The sequence below is a fragment of the Homo sapiens genome, chromosome 11 (genome assembly GCF_000001405.40).
Source record: "Homo sapiens chromosome 11, GRCh38.p14 Primary Assembly".
In the NCBI taxonomy this organism is placed as follows: Eukaryota; Metazoa; Chordata; class Mammalia; order Primates; family Hominidae; genus Homo; species Homo sapiens.
Genome location: NC_000011.10, coordinates 38,417,464 through 38,437,808, shown reverse-complemented (window position 1 = coordinate 38,437,808; position 20,345 = coordinate 38,417,464). Strand labels below are relative to the sequence as shown.

At 35.4% G+C, this 20,345-nt stretch overlaps 1 annotated feature.

The window, feature by feature from the left end:
* Positions 12,023-12,223: a silencer, noted in NCBI's record as "peak1259 fragment used in MPRA reporter construct". NCBI's record gives its function as "represses an SCP1 promoter by STARR-seq MPRAs in K562 erythroleukemia cells {active_cell/tissue: K562}" and the evidence as "EXISTENCE:reporter gene assay evidence [ECO:0000049][PMID:32103011]".

Genomic DNA, 20,345 nt, shown 5'->3' with positions numbered 1-20,345 from the left:
GTTAGAGTTTCTTTCAGGAAATCAATTTATCTTATAGCTTTGATGACCAGAAATATGTGAGCAGGGGAGAAAGAATAAGGTTTAAATTGTATGAAGACAAATTTTAAAAATTTTATAAAATGTTATAGCTTGTATATGGAAGGCACTTGATAGAAATACTTCCATATTTTACAAAAATCCTAAACATTTGGGATAATACCAATAAAAATTTGTGAACTGAAAAAAATGTATTAAAACCATTCTAGAAAAATGGATGGATTGCCTGTTTATTCTAATGTGGAAATAATATTACAAAAGTATTAACTTTGAAGATATAATCAAAGGCTATGTTGCTAAACATGAAAAATATCAATAGGAATATTTCTGGCATTTAGTTAATGAAAATGTTATAATAATTTTGTGTATATAAACTGTTCATCAAAAATCCAATGATTCAAGTGCACTTAGTTCTAAGATCACACTTTAAGGACACATATTGCACATCTTTCATACTTTTCATAACTTTCACAAAAACATAATTTTTATGTGAGATACTATTTTCACTTTTTGCTTGGGTAACCCATGAAAAGGAAGCCAGAATATAAAAAATAACTACTGTTCTTTATTCTAATGATATTTACATATCCCCTACCACTTAGAATTTGGAAATAAAAAAAATTCTTTCTATAGAATCTGACAAATTGCAAAAAAAAAATACTAATGACAAAGACATGAAGATTTTTCCTATCTGGAAAATGAACAGGACATGTTATTCAGGTGGAGGTCGGTAGGCAGAGTCAAAGACTAACTTTCTTCATTTACAGAAGTATATTCTATTGCCCCTCACTGTTCTCCTATTGGCTAAAAAAGCCCACATTTTTGTACTAATTCTGTCACCTTCTAATATTATTTTTAAAACATTCACGTGGCATTTTTTTCTAAATGCTATGTTTCTCTGACGCTCATGTTTTCAATCCCTCTCCACAGGGCACATAAACTGATACCATTAACGTTCATTACCTAAAAGTTTGCTATTGTACTCGCCACTTTTCTCTATACCCAACCCCTGCCCCTGTTCTGCTTTTGACTTGGTTGGAGTCAATGGCTACATGGCTAGAAAATCTGTAACCACATTTCTAACAACTTTAATATTTATTATACTCCATTTCACACACATAATTGGGAGATGCTGGTACCTGTCATCACCTGAGATGCTGCTCCTGAAAAACATGACATTTATATTTCTCTCTGTCTAGAAAGAAATGCTTCTCATGAGAATCCTCATCATGGCACTTGTTGTAAATAGCAAAATCAATTAAATAATTACAAAACGTAAGATATACCATGAAGAAAACAAAAAGGCATGTTAGGCTGAGAGAGGGTGCAGATGCACAATGTTTCAGAAAAGTAGAATTTTTATGGAGCTCAAAGAATAAATGCTACTTAGTCAACATACTTATCATCAAAAAATATTCTCTGTATGAAGTTAACCCTGTGAAAAGTACTAAAATCTTAGTTTATAATATATAATATAATGTAATAAATATTTGTATTATATATTATATAATAATAAAGCTTGGAGAATATATACATATATTGAAAAAATGTATTTTGGAATTGTTCTTTAAAGATGTCTAATAATTCCAAACAATATAATGTATGTTCTTAAAGGTAAAAATCATTCTTTTTTGACTTCTAAGTAAAAGTTCTTATTTGAGTGTTTTCTTTCTTAAAAAAGAATCGTATTCTATTGTTTACATTAACTGATAAAATTGTACATATTTAGTGTATATAACATGCAGGTCCCCGCATCTCCCAATAGAAATATGTGTGTGAAATGGAGTGTAATAAATATTAAAGCTGTTAGAAGATGTGGTTTTAGATTTTCTAGCCATGTAGCCATTGAATCCACCCAAGTCAAAAACAGAACTGGAGGAATAAGTATAGAGAAAAGTGTGGAGTACAATAGCAAACTTTGAGGTAATGAAAGTTAATGGTCTCAGTTTATGTGCCCTGTGGGGAAGGAGTGTATATAACATGATATTTTAAAGTAATGCATATATGAACTGGCTATATTGGAATGACTATAGCCAGTTCACATACACATTACTTCATCTGGTTATCATTTTTGTAGAGATAACACTTTCCATCCACACTCTTAGCATTTTTTAAGAAGACAAATACCACATGATCTCACCCATGTGTGGCATATGATCTTATAGTAGAAAGTAGAATGGTGGTCACCAGCGGCTGGGGTGGTTATGGGTTGAGTGGAGTGTTGTGAAGATATTGGTGAAAAGATACAAAATTTTAGTTAGACATAAGGAATATGTTCAAAAGATTTATTGTATAACATGGTGACCACAGTTAATATATATTTTATGTTTAAGTTTGCTTAAAAGCCTATATGACTGCATAATATTGAAAGTCAAGAGCTTTTGTTTCCCCCAATATAGTAGTGAAAAGTGTCGTAGATCCTCATTCTTTACAACCAAGGACAGAAATAAAATGAATAATTTTCAAACCTTATAGTTAATATGGCACTTCATAATTATTAAGCCATTCCTATCCTCTAAGAGCTATACTAATTCTTTTATATGCATTAACTTATTTTTTCAAACCTCCAGGTACCTACTCAATATTTTCACATTACTTATATCTTAATGATAGCTCAAACTTTATACTGAACTTAAAGCAAAATGTTTAAATTCAATTACCACACTTTTCTCCCTTATCTCCTAATTTGCATATCATTAAACGACATTACAATTGACAAATTATTTATGGCAAAGTTTACTCTAAAAGGTCAACAGCCCTCTCCCAGTAATTATTAGAAAAAGTACTGAAAAAAAAATTCAGTAAGAATGCAAAGGGGGCCTGGCGCCCTGGCTCATGGCCGTAATCCCAACACTTTGGGAGGCTGAGGTGGGCGGATCACCTGAGGTCAGGAGTTCGAGACCAGCCTGGCCAAGATGGTGAAACCCCGTCTCTACTAAAAATACCAAAATTAGCCAGGCATGGTGGCGGGCGCCCATAATACCAGCTACTCAGGAGGTTGAGGCAGGAGAATTGCTTGAACCCAGGAAGCAGAGGTTGCAGTGAGCTGAGATCGCGCCATTGCACTCCAGCCTGGGTGAAACAGTGAAACTCTGTCTCAATAAAAAAAAAAAAAAAAATTCAAAGGATTTAAGCTTGTCACCAATTTGATCTAACTCACAATGAAAATATAATTTTTATAAGAAACAACAAGCCAACAAGCATACATCTCACAGACATGTTGTTGAGTAAATGAATACTGGATGATTCTTGTTTTCTAAAATTCTAAAATAGGAAAAACTAATCTATGGTGATTTAAATCACAACAGTGGTTGTTTTTTTCACATGGGAGGAAGTGACTGCAAAGGGTAACATGGGAACATTTGGGATTAAAGAGCAGTTTCTCTCTATAAATAAATATAGGTTGCTTGGTGCAATTCACAGATATTTATAATTTTTAAAACTTGACTTAATGTACGTTTAAGAATAGAACTATGTATGATGGAAATGCCTTTTTAAAAAGAACTCTTGACGTCTGCATCTGTTATACTATTTCCTATGAACATTTCTGATCCTCTGTATGCTTCTTCCTTTTATTTGAATACTTTGTCCATTTCAGCTTAATATTATTGATACGTTTGGGTTTGAGTCTACCGTGTTTGCATTTGTTTTCTATTATTCTCTCTCCCTCTGTCTTTCTCTGTCTCTGTTTCTGTCTCTCTCTCTTCCTCCCTGTCTCCCTCTCTCATCTATTTTGCCTAAATAACTAAAAGATTACAATATATTTTCTTAATTTATCACATTTTACTTTAAAGCAGTGTTACATTAATCTACAAAAATAGAAATGCATTATTACTGTGTGTGTACTTTAATCTACTGCCTCCCTCATCTTTTTTCCTACTTTGCCATATATTTTATTTCTGTAGACATTTACTTTTACAGATAACTACTTTAAATACTTATGCTTTAAATAAATTAGTTTTCATATTTACATATATTTTTACCACTTCCAGCACCCTTCATTTCTTCCTGTAAATCTAAATTTTAACAAGTACTATTTCTCTAACTCTGAGAAATTTCTTTTAGGAATTCATATAAATTAGACATAATTTATGTGAATTCACATAAATTCACATAAGTTAGAATTCAAAGGTGAGGAATGATTTCAGATTTTATTTAAATAAAGTGTTTTATTTTTCCTTCATGATTTTGAAGTTGTCTCTTTCTCGGTTTTTGTTTTTTCACCTGAAATTTACTATAATGTGCCTTAGTGTGGTTAATTTGATATTTATCCTACAGGGATTTGCTAAGCTCTTTGAATGTGTTTCATCACATTTGAAAAGACTTTGGTTATCATATTTTCAAACTTTTGGTTATTATGTTTTTAGTCATTTTAGGATTTCAGTTATATATAATTTAGTTTGATTGTATAATTCAGTTTTATATAGTATAATATTTTTAAATTTAATTCTCTGGATTACAATTGTTTGGTTTAATATTTTTATTGCTTAGGACTAGAATTTTGTGGGTTTTTTTAATTTTTATTTTTCTCTCCTGAAATTGCCCATCTCTTTACAAAGTACATTAATATTTTTCTGTAAATTATTTAACATATTTATAACTTTTAATTTCATGGTCAGCTAATTCCAATAATTAGATAGCTGTGTCTTCTTGTATAGACTGTTTTGATTTTGATTATTTCACTTATTGTGCATAAAAATATATGGGGAAAGAAGTTTGCTTCTGACTTGCTTTGTATTGCTTATTTTCAAGAGAATGCAAGCCATTTTCTCTGTTCAACACTTGGGCAAATTAGCTCAACACACCACCTCCTCCCATCCTCATAGAGATGTGTCTAGAATTCAGATGAAATTCATTTGTTAATCTACATGCTTTAGTTAACTATTGTCACATAAGTTATCACTCAACATTAAGTAGCTTAAGACAATAATATATAGTTTTTTCAATTTCAGAGTCTTTGTGGGTCAGTAGTCCAGGTGCAGCTTAGCACCTCTGGCTCTGAGTTTCATACTAGTCTTCATCTATGCCAACACTTAACTAGAAAGGATCTGCTTTGTTACTCATTCACGTGGTTGTTGACAGGATTTAGTTTCTCATTAATTGTGGGGGTAAAGACTTAGTTCCCCTAAGTTGTTGGTGAGATTCCTCCTTCAGTCCCTTCTAACAAAGGGCTTTTTGAAAGCACCTCACAATATGGCTGCAAGCTTCATCAGTGCAAGCAAGAGAGAAGAAAAACGAGTGCCAACAAATGGCAGAGTGCTAGCAAGAAAGACGTTATAGTCTTTTGTAATCTGGTCATGGAAGTAACATCACTTTGGCATATTCTATTTATTCAAAGAAAATCAATAGATTCAGTGCACAAAGGGAGAAAATTACACAAAACTGAATTCTAGGAGAAGAAGACAATGATACACATTTCAAAAGTTGCCTACCAGACTGAAGCTTCCAGATCACTAGAAGTTTTCTCCCCCTCCCCCTCCTCATCCTCCTCCTCATCTTCCTCCTCCTCCTCCTAAATGATGATATTTGAGCTCAGAGAGTTATGAACTACAATATAATACTTTTTTGGTCACTTTAAACACTCAAAGGACACCAGATCCTAAGCACTATAATTTTGCATGCAACTTCTTGTTTGTTAGCCCACTGTCATGACCTGTTCCAGCAAAATTCAGATCAGGAATGGGGAGAGAATAGGTGTATATTTTCTCATGAAGCCTGTCTGCTTGACTGACAGGTGGCTGTCGTATTGCTTTGTCCTTACCTGGCTTCTTCTTCTTTTTTTTTTTTTTAGATGGAGTTTTGCTCTTGTTGCCCAGGCTGGAGTGCACTGGTGCCATGTTGGCTCACTGCAACCTCCGCCTCCCAGGTTCAAGTGATTCTCCTGCCTCAGCCTCCTAAGTAGGTGGGGTTACAGGCATGAGCCACCATGCCTGGCTAATTTTATATTTTTAGTAGAGACGGGGTTTCTCCACGTTGGTCAGGCTGGTCTCGAACTCCTGACCTCAGGTCATCTGCCCACCTTGGCCTCCCAAAGTGCTGGGATTACAGGCGTGAGCCACCGCACCCAGCCACCTGGCCTTTTCTTTATGCTGTGCATCCCTGGTGAATCCTTCTCCTCCTATAAGGACAGCACTTGGATTGGGGCACCACTCTCCAAGTACAGCCACACAGGGGGCTTCAAAATATGAATCCTGGGGGAACACAATTCAGTCAGTCCACAACAGTAGGTGTACTAGTCAGGGTTCTCTAGAAAACAGAACTAATACGATAGATGTATATATTAAGGAGTATCGACTGGCACGATCATAAGGTGAAGTCCCACAATAGGCTGTCTGCAAGCTAAGAAGCAAGGAAACCAGTCTGAGTCCCAAAATCTCAAATCTCAAAAGTAGAGAAGCTGACAGTAGAGAAGCTTCAGCCTGTGCCTGAAGGCCTGAGAGCCCCTGGCAAACCACTGGTGTAAGTCCAAGAGTCCAAAACTGAAGATCTGTCCAATATTTGAGGGCAGGAAGTATCCAGCATGGGAGAAAGATGGAGGCCAGAAGACTCATCTAGTCTAGTCCTTCCTGTTCCTCTGTCTGCTTTTTTTTTTTTTTTTTTCATTGAGAGGAAGTCTCGATCTGTTGACCAGGCTGGAGTGTATTGGCAGGATCTTGGCTCACTGCAACCTTCCCTTCCTGAGTTCAAACAATTCTTCCACCTTCACCTCCTGAGTAGCTGGGATTACAGGTACTCGCCACCATGCTTGGCTATTTTTTTTTATTTTTAGTAGAGATGGGGTTTCACCATGTTGACCAGGCTGCTCTTTAACTTCTGACCTCAAGTGATCCACCTGCCTTGGCTTCTCAAAGTGCTAGGATTACAGGTGTGAGCCACCGCGCCAGCCCCTCTGCCCACTTTTATCCTAGTTGCACTGGCAGCTGATTATGTGGTGCCCACCCAGATTGAGGGTGGGTCTGCCTCTCCCAGTCCACCAACTCAAATGTTAATCTCCTTTGGCAACACACTCACAGACACATCCAGGAACAATACCTTGTATCCTTCAATCCGATCAAGTTGACACTCAGTATTAACCATCACAGCAGGCATGAGATAAAAGTGTCCAGCTGAAAATATTTTTAGTATGTCTGGTGCTCTAAAGATCCTATTCCATATAGAAAGCTCACACGTTCCTCTTAGACTCATTGGATTGTTTCTCATACGTGGGAAGTATCTCCATCTATTTCTAACTCTGCTCTTCTCTACTTACATCCAGGATCAGGTGCTTGCCCTGGGCATGAGACCTTCCAAACCTGTCTCCCCACTTATGAAATATTTCTTTTTTGGAATTCAGTTCTCCAAAGTGTTGTTATGTTTAGCACTTTTAACCAATAATTTATAAAAATAATTTTTTGTTTTGTTAATTTTTTCTTGTTTCTAAACTTGTAGCAAAAATGTTTCATGCCTTTCTTCATCCTATGAAAACTGAAATCCAACAATTATACTAAACATTACACTAAATATATAAACAGACAGAATGGGTCTGCATAGCATTCTCTCTTTAGTGTGTTACCAAATATAGTATAAGGAAATGTCTCTTTACTTAGGACATCACAGAAAAAAAGGTTTTTCCTCCTGTCTTAAAATCCAGTACTTCCTTTTAATAATCAGTTGAGTTTTTTCTTCTTAAGTTACACAGCACCTTTCAGTAGAAAAACATGTTTTTCTTCTTTCAGTTTCATCTTCAACGAGTTTCCTTGGACATCAATTATGTGTGGCTCATTATTAAGTACCAAAAATACAGACGTGAATTAAACAATGTCGTTGTATGCAGGGAGTTGATAATCTAGAATAAAACAAGTATTCTGCTTTTAAATGTACATAAAGATTATCTATACATCAAATGACCACTAACCCTAATGTTTCAAAAATGCCCTTACTACCCAAAATTATCTACAGATTTAATGCAATCCTTATCAAAATTCTGATGTCTTTTTTCACAGAAATAGAAAAAACAATACTAAAATTTATCTGGAACCTCAAAAGACCTCAAATAGTCAATGTACTCTTAAAAAATAACATAACTGGGAACATTACGCTTCCTGATTTCAAATTATGTTATACAACTATAGAGATCCAAATGTGGAGTACAATCTATGACTTATGAAAGTTTGAACAATCATATTCTGATGATGAATTGCCCACCTTGCATCTTACCTCATGCATTAGGACATCACACTTCCTGATTTCAAATTACATTGTAAAGCTGTAGAGATCCATATGTGGGCTAAAATCCAGGACTTAACGAAGGTTTGAACAATCACATTCCTATGATGAATTGTCCACCTTGCTCCTTACCTCATGCATTAACACACCTAATCACTGTTACATCATAGCATTGAAGAAAGTGGAACTATGCTCTGTTATTGATGCTTGATAGAATGTATGCTGTTGGGAGGAGAGTGACCACTGTGTTTTGCATAAGATTTTCATCTTTTTTAATAGCAGAAAAAAATTCTACTGTTTTAATAGTAGTAAAATAGTAGAAAAAATAGTAGAAAAATTTTAATAGTAGAAAAAAGTTGAGAGAAAGTGACACTTACCCAGAAATATAAATTCTTTTTTTTTTCTTTTTTTTTTTTTTTTGAGATGGAGTCTTGCTCTATTGCCCAGGCTGGAGCGCAGTGGCATAATCTCTGCTCACTGCAACCTCTGCCTCCCAGGTTCAAGCGAATCTCCTGCCTCAGCCTCCCGAGTAGCTGGAATTACAGGCGTCCACCACCACACCTGGCTAATTTTTGTATTTTTAGTAGAGACGGGGTTTTGCTGTGTTGGCCAGGCTGCTCCCCAACTCCTGACCTCAGGTGATTTGCCCACCTTGGGCTCCCAAAGTGCTGGGATTACAGGCGTAAGCCACCATGCCTGGCCTTAAATTCTTTTTCAAAATATCTGCCTCTGAAACGGAATTACAGGCAAGATATGCCAATTAGATATTATAACTGTAATATCATAGCCTAAAGTGATGGACCAGACCACATTTCCAAAAGCAGAATCAGACTCTCCTTTTTCTCATTTCCTTACGACTAGAGAAAACATATTTAGCTCTCGGTATTTTTGCCCTGCCAGAGAGGAGTGAGGGGATTGGTCTTGATTCTCTTTAGGGTTAATGTACACCATAGTACCATAGATATTCAAGAGAAAAGGATAGAAGTTCTGGAGACATTTGATAGGTTTGAAAATTCTGTCTCCTGAGTTGTCTGGATAGGTGAATCTAAAGGGTTTGGCAAGTACAACTGCAATTCAGGCAGTAGTTATTCTCAGGATCCCTACTTTGAGAAGCAAAATTGAATGGTGGTGGAATAGACAAAGCCCAAACACTTGGATGTTAGGAAGTCCTTTGTCTTTTAGCCATGAGGCCAGGCTTTTGAGTAAGGCTTTGGCCCTGGGATGGAACTAGAATTCTAGTTGGAAGAATCCGTGGAAGGATGCATGGTAATGTAGTAAGAGCACAGATTCGATGTCAAGAATGTCTAGGTTTTAGTCCTACCTGTTAAACATGGCTCTGACAAGTTACTTGGACTCTCTCTTCTTCAGCTTCCTCTTGTAAAATGAACATATTTTGAGGTGGCAAGAATAGTTTTGAGAAGGTTAATATGTAAAACAGTGCCAGACCATGATAAGCTCTATTTATGTTTATTCTATTAATATTAATTATATCAACTTAAATTATCATTAATAATTAACAAGAACACAATGGTATTATGTTGAGCTCTATTCTGTTAGCTACCTTGAACATTATTATTATTATTATTTTTGGAGATGGTGTCTCACTCTGTCACCCAGGCTGGAGTGCAGTGGCTGGATCTCAGCTCACTGCAACCTCTGCCTCCTGGGGTCAAGCAATTCTCCTGCCTCAGCCTCCCATGAAGTTAGTACTACAAGTGACCGCCACCACAGCAGGCTAATGTTTTTGTATTTTAGTAGAGACTAGGTTTCACCATGTTGTCCAGGCTGGTCTCAAACTCCTGAGCTCAGGCAATCCTCCTGCCTCGGCCTCCCAAAGTGCTAGGATTACACGCGTGAGCCACCTCACCCAGCCTGAACAGTATTTTTAAAATTCCACCTTGCTTATTTATTAAATGAGTTTAATAACAGTTACCTTTTGAGGTGGTGGTAAGAATTTGAAGTTTTATGAAGCACCTAGCATGGATTTCAAACTCAATGAACTAATGTCATTTCTAAAATAATTTCTATATCAAGGCAGAGGTTAAGAATATGGACAATTCAGCTGGTGTCCCTGGATAATAATGTGGGTGCTCAGTTTCCACCTGGTTCCAGGTCTTAGGGAAAGAAAAAGATTTCATTTTAAATGACAATCGATTGAGATTAAGGAGAGCCTGAAATATTGAAATTGCCCTTGATTTAGTTAACGTTGGCTCAAGAATTTTGTTTAGATGCCATCACTACATACAGCTTGGAAAAAAAAACAAAAAAGCAAAAAAACAAAAAAACACCCAAAGCCAAGGCTGGGAAACATTTCGAGCTCAGAATTTCACTGCTAATGTAAGAGACACAAATATCTTGCTTTTCTAGGTTTGAGTATGAAGGTAATACCATTTACTATGTTAGTTCCTAAAAAACTAGAGAACAACTTAAATTATTTTTAAGACAATCATGAGTGTACTTTAACATACCTTTGACATGTTAAAATATTACCAAGATGTGGTAAGGTCCATCAACTTTGATGCCCTTAATATGCATAATTTTGACATTCAATACACTATAGTAAGAACTTCACATTTTAAAAAAGGCATTGAACACAAAGGTATTTGCAGGTTTGAAGCTTCTTAATGTTATTCGTGTGCTTGTTGCATTGTTAGAAATATGACTTATTGGCAATGTTTAAATATGATAAGTTCAAAATATTTCATCTCTAGAGGGTATCTATTGGTAATAATTACTAGGACCAGATATAGAATGGCTTCTAAGCTTACCACTCCTCTCACAAACTAAATTATTTGTTAAATAAGCAAACTTTTCTATGAAGAGAATAAGAAAATTTAACACTAAAACATAGGTTTCTGATTTTTTTGTGCTAAGCATCAGAGATATTCTGATCAAAATTAAGAAAAAATAGATTTCTTTCCTGATTAATCTAATTTTTTCCCTTTCCACCAAAATGGTTTGCTGAAGATAGGACTTTTTCCATATTAAGCCAAAAATTGAGCTCGTAGTCTTTTATTTCTTTCAGCCTTTAATAGGTGAACAAAGTAAAATTAAAATTGAGGTTTGCAGTCAAAATTTGCAGAATGACCTATATTACCCTTCATGAACTATTAAATAAACAGATCAGTAGGCTAAATACAGGTAACCGTTTATCTTTGTTAAATTAAAATGAATGAATTATTTATGTATTTATTAAAATAAATCTCCATTCATCACATACCATATAAAAACTCATTCCAGAAAATTATGAACAAAGCAGAATTTCTATAAAGTAATATACTACTTTAAAATGTGTAATGTAGTATACGCTAAAGTAATATAGTTTAAATATCATGTGTTTTAATATTTAGAGCTTGCAGAGTGAAATAATGTGAGATAGAAGCATATAAATCTTAACATATATATATGACCCAGGAAACATGGTTTATTAAAGACAGAATTAAATTTGGGACAGAAAACCTATATTCCAGCTGTGTGATCTTGAACACAGCTACATTCAGGTATATTCTGGGACAAAGCACATTAAATCAGAGATTTTAAAGATAGAAGCTAAAGGTGGAAAATGCTAGTCTTATGATCTGAAATTTAATATTGACGACCAGGAACTAGAGTAGCTCTTTGTTTGTAGATTTTTTTAATAGAGTGAGGAACAAATAAAAATATATAAAAGTGCCTGATTGCTTTTTCCCCTCCGCATTTTTCCACCTCCCTTCTTCTTTCCTCACCCCTCACATAAGTGTTGGTCTCATTTTGATGGACATCCAGTGCAATCTTTGGCGAAGGTGGTAATTTGACATGTCAATCTCTCCTGCTTTAACAAGCTGGTGCCTTCACAGCTGTGATACCATGGAGCCCAGTTATTTTTGTCTTGATAAAAGACAATTGTCAAGCTTTAGCTACAGCTAATTTAGGAACTTCTCAGAGCTTGCTATTTCTGAATGTTCAGGTGTTGGATGTTATTTATTTATTTTCTCTTAATAGAACTCCTTTCTTGCCTTCTGGAAATTTATTCAGCACTCAAAAAAATATTTGCAGCTTTGCCTGAAAATAGCCACATGCAAAATTTTAAACATTCAAACTATTATCCCGACTTTGTTATTATCAAATGTTGGTGTCATTATTTATGCTTAGCTGAATTTATATTGTCTCTAATTCCTATGCATTTGGTAGATAATTCTAGAGATGAGATCAATATAAGGGCATGTTAAATTAATTAAATTATTTTATCCAAATATTAATAATAAATCGAATATTTATGTGCTTATTTTCTTAGACACTATTTTAATTTGAGTATAGAGCCCTGAAGAAAAAAAAAAAGATTTACATATTCTTACATTGAGGTGACTCAATAATGTCTTTTTCATTCATTCATTCACTCAACACATAATTATTTGTTTCTTACTGTCTGTGAGGTATCAGAAAAGAAGAGATAAAACACACAGTCACTGTATTAGAGCTCTCCAGAGCAACAGAACTAGTAGGATAGATGTATATATGAAAGGAGTTTATTAAGGAAATTGACTCACATGATCACAAGGTGAAGTCCCACGATAGGCCATCTGCAAGCTGAAGAGCAAGGAAGCCAGTAGTGGCTCACTGCAAATTCAAAACCCTCAAACATAGAGAAGCTGAAAGTGCAGCCTTCAGTCTGTGACCAGAGGCCCAAGAGCCCCTGGCAAACCACTTGTGTAAGTCCAAGAGTCCAAAGACTCCTGGAATCTTGAGTCTGATGTTGAAGGGCAGGAAGCAACCAGCATGGGAGAATGATGAAAGCGGAAGACTCACCAAGCCAGCTTACGTCACCTTATTCTGACTGCTTTTTCTAGCCATGCTGGAAGCCCATTGGATGGTGCCCACCCACACTAGTGGTCCTCTCCCAGTCCACTGACTCAAATGTTAATCTCCTCTGGCAACATCCTCACAGACACACCCAGAAACAAAATTTCAATCCAATTAAGTTGACACTTAATATTAACCATTAATTTACCATTAACCATTAACAGCCACTGACTTCAATAACTTTTCAGTTTATTTTAAAAACATATTACAGGAACCAGAAATTAAAATCAAGCACAATAAATTATCTACTAGAAATAAGCACAAAATGCTAAAGGAAGTTAAAGGAGCATGACCTAGATCCTTGTCCTAGTAGATGTCATTACTGAGACCAGCTATCTGGATGATAGTAATTAGATTTTTAAAAAAGGATTAAAAAACCGAGTTGTGTAATTTAAATGGGTGCTTTGTATGTTCTATGAATTATATCTCAATAGCACTGTTTATAAATAAAGTAAAAGAAATTAGATCTGAAAGAAAGGTAATAGCATTAAGAATGAAGAGGAGAGGGGTGAGAAAGTTGACGGATGGGATATAAAGGACTTTTGGGCCAAGTGGATTACTTGAATGTGGGAGAGCGAAGGTAAGGAAGAAGGAAAAGACCAGGAAAATATGCTGCTTATTGTTTATATAGGTACTGAGTGATGGTAATTTCAATTATTGAAAAAGAATCTACAGGAATAATATTTATGTTTGGGAGTAACATGATAATATATGATTAGTTCTGTGATTTTCATGCTAAGTTTAAGCTGTTTATGTGATATGTATGGGTCACCAGCAGGTATTTTAATAAAAATATATAACTTAGGAGAGCCATTTAGGCTATAAATGTAGATTGGAGAGCCACCAATGAGCAGGTAGATGGTAAAATCATAGGGTAAGTAGGCAGGCTTTTCCAGAAAGAATATTTTGATGAAGAAAAGTAAAGAGAATAAATCTCTGGAAACCATCATGACAGAGAGAGGAACTTGCAAACATTATTTTAAAGTTAATGGGCCCAAATTCGAAAGAATTTTGAGTTAAATGACATTACAGATTGTCTAGTATAGTAGTTTCAAATATGGGAGTAGGTGGCATAGATCCCTTGATTCTCTTGAAACAGTAAGAGAAATCAAGCATATAAAATAGGTAAAATAATAGTGACTCTCTTAAAAGCAGAGCATGCATGTATGACCTTTTGGCTATTTATTCCCACCTAAGAGTGGGAGTCACTGAGTTGCTCATTGCAATCTTCTTAAACCACATAGACTGTAGTATGAAAATATCTGCTTTAATTGCTACCTTCATTTTACTTAGAGAGAAACTATGCCTCAAATAGAGGTCAATCTGAAAAGCAGAATTACATTGAGTATTATACAGTTAGGGACTTAAATAAATGAGACCTACTCAGCCGGGGGAAAATATAGGGAAGTGAAGAGCCCAAAGTGAGAGTTGGAATATCAGAGAAAAGTCAACAACCACCAGCTCTCTTGAAGTTGTCAAGTAGGTGACAAGTCAGAGCTTTCAAGGAATTAAGGGAAATCAAACACAACTAGCTTGCAAAGTGAGACCAGGAAGGAGAGCTGGAGAAGTCTATAGAAGCTGCTGCCATCAGAAAGAAGAGCTGAACGCAGGGAGGGACAGTGAGGACATGCTAAAATTCAATGGCATCTCTGTCTTTCAGGACCACCTAGATAGTAAACTGCTATTCCACTTCCACCTTCTTAATTAATCCCATGCAAATTTCTCTTTTGGACACCTTCCATTCAGTAAAGTGATTTCTAGAAAATACAGCTGTAGCTTAAAGTTGACACAAGATAAAAACACCTTAGAGACACTGACAAAACTTTAAGCCAGTCTCTTACTGAATTACTAAGTCCAAATGCTGGTTATCTTAAACACAAAGATTTTTGTTTTGTTTTGTTTTGTTTTGTTTTGTTTTGTTTTTAATCCAAAAAACTTTTAGCTGTTTGTACTTCTTTAAAAGCAGATTTGTTTTTAGCGTCTGAAGTACCATTCTTGAATCTGAAGTTAATAATTCAAATTGTATTTATTTATTTAGAAAATAACCCTGTCTTACTCTCTTGCCCAGGCTGGAGCGCAATTGTACAATCTCAGCTCACTGCAGCCTCAATCTCCAGGGCTCAAGTGATCCTCTCACCTCAGCCTCTCCAGTAGCTAGGACTACAGGCATGCACCGCCATGCCCAGCTAATTGTTTGTACTTTTTGTAGAAATGGGTTTTGCCATGTTGCCCAGGCTGGTCTCAAATTCCTGAGCTCAAGTGATGTGCCCACCTCAGCCTCCCAAAGTGCCAAGATTACAGGCATAAGCCACCAAGTCGAGGCTAGAATTTTATTAAAGCATATCTTTGTTTTTTTAAATTATCTCTTTGTTCATCATTGTCATTATTTTACCTGCTTATTTTTTATATTTTGTTTTTCATTCTATATTAATTCATTTTGTTCAAGTTATTTTTTCTTCAAATTTAAGATGAGCTTTCATTAGGTGTTCCTATTTATAACACATGAACTTGATTGTCAGTATGAGGAGCTGGCACAGCTTTCTCTTGCAATTACGTGAGGCTACTTCTCAAACAAACGTGACCCTTAGTGGGAATACTAGTTATTACTTTGAGTAAGTCGGGAGAGCTCCTATGAGAGTTTCTAAGGAACTCTCCACAAAAGGAAAAATAAGAGAAGCCTTTGTGTTAGAATAGAGAGACAATAGTACCTCAGGCTTTATTCTGATATTCTCTCCTTTTCCAGCACCTTATCTGGGATCCATACCTAAATATATCTCTCCCTCCTGCTTTATAGAGACCAGTTCTAAGGCTTTGCTTAAAAACAAAATCCCTTCCTGTAACCTATTCTGGTCCCTAAGAAATAACTTTGTCCACTTTTATAATTACCATTTATAAAATAAGTTACCTTGGTAATTGTTCTCTGATTTTGTCAAGTTCTTTGTAGGCCACAGTTAACCCAGTTTTTCCCTATGAAAATCTATGCTCTTATTATACATGTTCTTTACAGGATTTCACATGCTTGCTTCCTTCCACGTAGTCTCAAGATTTCCAGGCCATAGGTGGCATCTGTGACATTTATCCAACACTGTAAGAGTTCAACAGGCTTCTTTAACAACACTATTTTTAAAAATTATTGTCATTTAAACACCTGAAGTTAGTACACATAGATGTTTGTGTAACCATGTTTAAATTGAAGAGCATTGTTGGACATGATTGCAATATTGCCCTTATAACTGGGCAACTGGGGTTCCTGATCCAAGCCCCACACCATGGGACAACTAACACTTCAGGATACTTTACTGGTATTTTTCTAGGGCCCCTCTCGTCCCTGGGGCTAGCCAGACTGGAGCTTGTTAAGACAATTTTCCTGAAGGCGGGAAAAGAATTTCATAGGCTTAAGTTGATTTTATATCCATCTGTAAGCTTTCCAACTCTTCACCCCAGCTACCACAAGTGGAATCAACCTAAGACACTAAGGAGCTCCAGGTACCTTGTAGCCTACCACATTCTAGGGAAGCATCATGGTGAGCAGTTCACTCCCATTGTGTTGCCTGTTTCTTTTGTGAGGCAACTCAGAGTCCAGAGAGAAAAGAAAGAAAAAGAAAAGAAAAGGAAAGAAAGAAAGAAAGAGAGAGGGAGGGAGGGAGGAAAAATGAGAAAGAGAATGAAACAGAGAGAGAGAGAAAGAAAGAAAGAAAGAAAGAAAGAAAGAAAGAAAGAAAGAAAGAAAGAAAGAAAAGTTCTCTCTCTCTGTTCCTCAACATATATCTTTTGTAAAACTGAAATCTTATTTGATTGCTTAAGGAAGTAACACTGCTAATAACCAATTTTGAAAAGTGTATTTCGTTATTTTCTGCAACAATGAAATCATGATTTTTATATGTAACTACAGCTATATCATTTAGCAGGCAAAGGCAGAAATTAGCAATTAGACATTCAAATAGAATCTCTTTGAAAGATAGATAGAAAGTTTTTTACATAGTATACCGAACTATGCGATGACTTTAATAATGTGCAATTCTAGTTTTTTTAAAAAAAGGTAAGAAATTATTTACCTGCGTTTTCAGTAGTTTGTTGATCTATGTAAAGTGTCAAGGAAAATATCACCTCTAAATAAGGAAGATTTCCTCATATCTTAATGAAAGATCAACAATTTTTTTTTATTATTATACTTTAAGTTTTAGGGTACATGTGCACATTGTGCAGGTTAGTTACATATGTATACATGTGCCATGCTGCTGCGCTGCACCCACTAACTCGTCATCTAGCATTGGGTATATCTCCCAAAGCTATCCCTCCCCCCCTCCCCCCACCCCACAACAGTCCCCAGAGTGTGATGTTCCCCTTCCTGTGTCCATGTGATCTCATTGTTCAATTCCCACCTATGAGTGAGAATATGCGGTGTTTGGTTTTTTGTTCTTGCGATAGTTTACTGAGAATGATGATTTCCAATTTCATCCATGTCACTACAAAGGACATGAACTCATCCTTTTTTATGGCTGCATAGTATTCCATAGTGTATATGTGCCACATTTTCTTAATCCAGTCTATCATTGTTGGACATTTGTAAAAGAACAGAAATTATAACAAACTATCTCTCAGACCACAGTGCAATCAAACTAGAACTCAGGATTAAGAATCTCACTCAAAGCCGCTCAACTACATGGAAACTGAACAACCTGCTCCTGAATGACTACTGGGTACATAACGAAATGAAGGCAGAAATAAAGATGTTCTTTGAAACCAACGAGAACAAAGACACAACATACCAGAATCTCTGGGACGCATTCAAAGCAGTGTGTAGAGGGAAATTTATAGCACTAAATGCCCACAAGAGAAAGCAGGAAAGATCCAAAATTGACACCCTAACATCACAATTAAAAGAACTAGAAAAGCAAGAGCAAACACATTCAAAAGCTAGCAGAAGGCAAGAAATAACTAAAATCAGAGCAGAACTGAAGGAAATAGAGACATAACAATTTATTTTTGATGTAATTATAATTTCTTTAAAAGTAATGTTTATATAAAATTACTGTATAATGCAATGAAAATGTTAAAATAGAGAAAATCCTTGCTGGGTTTTACACAGTACTAGGTCTTCATGTAGATATTGTTGACAAGCCCCTTTTATAGAGTAAATTTGCTGTTTTGCTTGAGCCGAGGACAGCATTTGTAATGTCTGTATGTATATAAATTTGAAAGGTACAAATTGACAAGATTCTTGATGACATGTCAAGAAATATTTGCAAATATTTCTGGTATCAGCACAATTCAGATTCAAATAAGAACTTGTCAGACACAAGACTATTTATATGTAAACTAGTAAATAGGATGGAAGGAAAGGAAAGAAATGAAATGAGCTTTGTCACCCACTGCTAGATTTCAAAGTGCTAAATCAGTAAATGTCCTGTTCAAAATAATCACGTGTCATATAAGAAACAAATACAAAATATTTTAGCTATCTGTCCAGGCCCAAAGAGGCAAAACTGTCATGCAATTAAACATTTATAAATCATCCTTTAGACTATATTATCCAGAATGTTCTTTCTAATGAGGTCCATACTAGTGATTTCATTATGTGTGATCCCAGTGCTCATTTGGGGTATAGGAGTATCATTTACTCCAATTTGATTAAATTCACTCCAACCAGTCTTTGACACTAAAAGAAATCCTTTGGCTTTTCTTCTTTGTTTCTTCATTTAATTAATAGGAATGACACTTGACATTTAACAATAGATATCTTGAGGAAAGAAAAAGAATGTCTACATTTTTCTTTAATGAAAGACATTGAATAGTTCCACTTGAACATATATAAATAAAATTTAAATAAGTAATTTGTACACATTTATACATAATAAATCTTTTAGTAGACATAATACCTTTATATTATCTTTCAACAAATGCTTTTATTTATTAGATGTTGCCCAAAATTAATTTATAAATTATTTATTAAATATATTCTATGTGTCAAAGCTTTGTTATCTGTTTTGGGAATATAGTAAACAACATAGTTGGAATGCTGATCTACGATCTTAAGCTACACGGGAGAAAGAAAGGAAGAATCAATATCATGAAAATGGCCATACCGCACAAAGTAGTTTATAGAATCACTGCTATTCCCATCAAGCTACCATTGACTTTCTTCACAGAATTAGAAAACCATACTTTAAATTTCATGTGGAACCAAGAAAGAACCCATATAGTCAAGACAATCCTAAGTAAAAATAGCAAAGCTAGAGACATCACGCTACCTGACTTCAAACTATACTACAGTAACCAAAACAGCATGGTACTGGTACCACAACAGATATATAGACCAATGGAACAGAACAGAAGCCTCAGAAATAACACTATACATCTACAACCATGTGCTCTTTGACAAACCTGGCAAAAACAAACAATGGGGAAAGGATTCCCTATTTAATAAAAGATGTTGGGAAAACTGAATAGCCATATGCAGAAAATTGAAACTGGACCCTTTCCTTACACCTTATACAAAAAGTAACTCAAGATGGATTAAAAACTTAAATGTAAGACCTAAAACCATAAAAACCCTAGAAGGAATCCTGGGCAATACCAGGATATCGGCATGGGCAAAGACTTCATGACTAAAACACCAAAAGCAATTGCAACAAAAGCCAAAATTGACAAATGGGATCTAATTAAACTATAGAGCTTCTACACAGCAAAAGCAACTATCCTCAGAGTGAACAGGCAACCTACAGGATGGGAGAAAATTTTTGCAATCTATCCATCTGACGAAAGGCTCATATCCAGACTCTACAAGAAACTTAAACCAATTTACAAAAAAACACAACCCCATCAAAAAGTGGATGAAGGATATGAACAGCCAATTCTCAAAAGACAACATTTATATGGTCAACAAACATATGAAAAAAAGCTCATCATCACTGGTCATTAGAGAAATGCAAATCAAAACCACAATGAGATACCATCTCATGCCGGTTAGAATGGTGATCATTAAAAAGTCAGGAAACACAGATGCTGGAGAGGATGCAGAGAAATAGGAATGCTTTTACATTGTTGGTAGGAATGTAAATTAGTTGAACCATTGTGGAAGACAATGTGGTGATTTCTCAAGGATCTAGAACCAGAAATACCATTTGACCCAGCAATTCCATTACTGGGATTTATTTCATTTCATATTCATTACCCAAAGGATTATAAATCATTCTGTTATAAAGACCCATGGACATGTATATTTACTGCAGCACTACTCACAATAGCAAAGACTTGGAACCAAC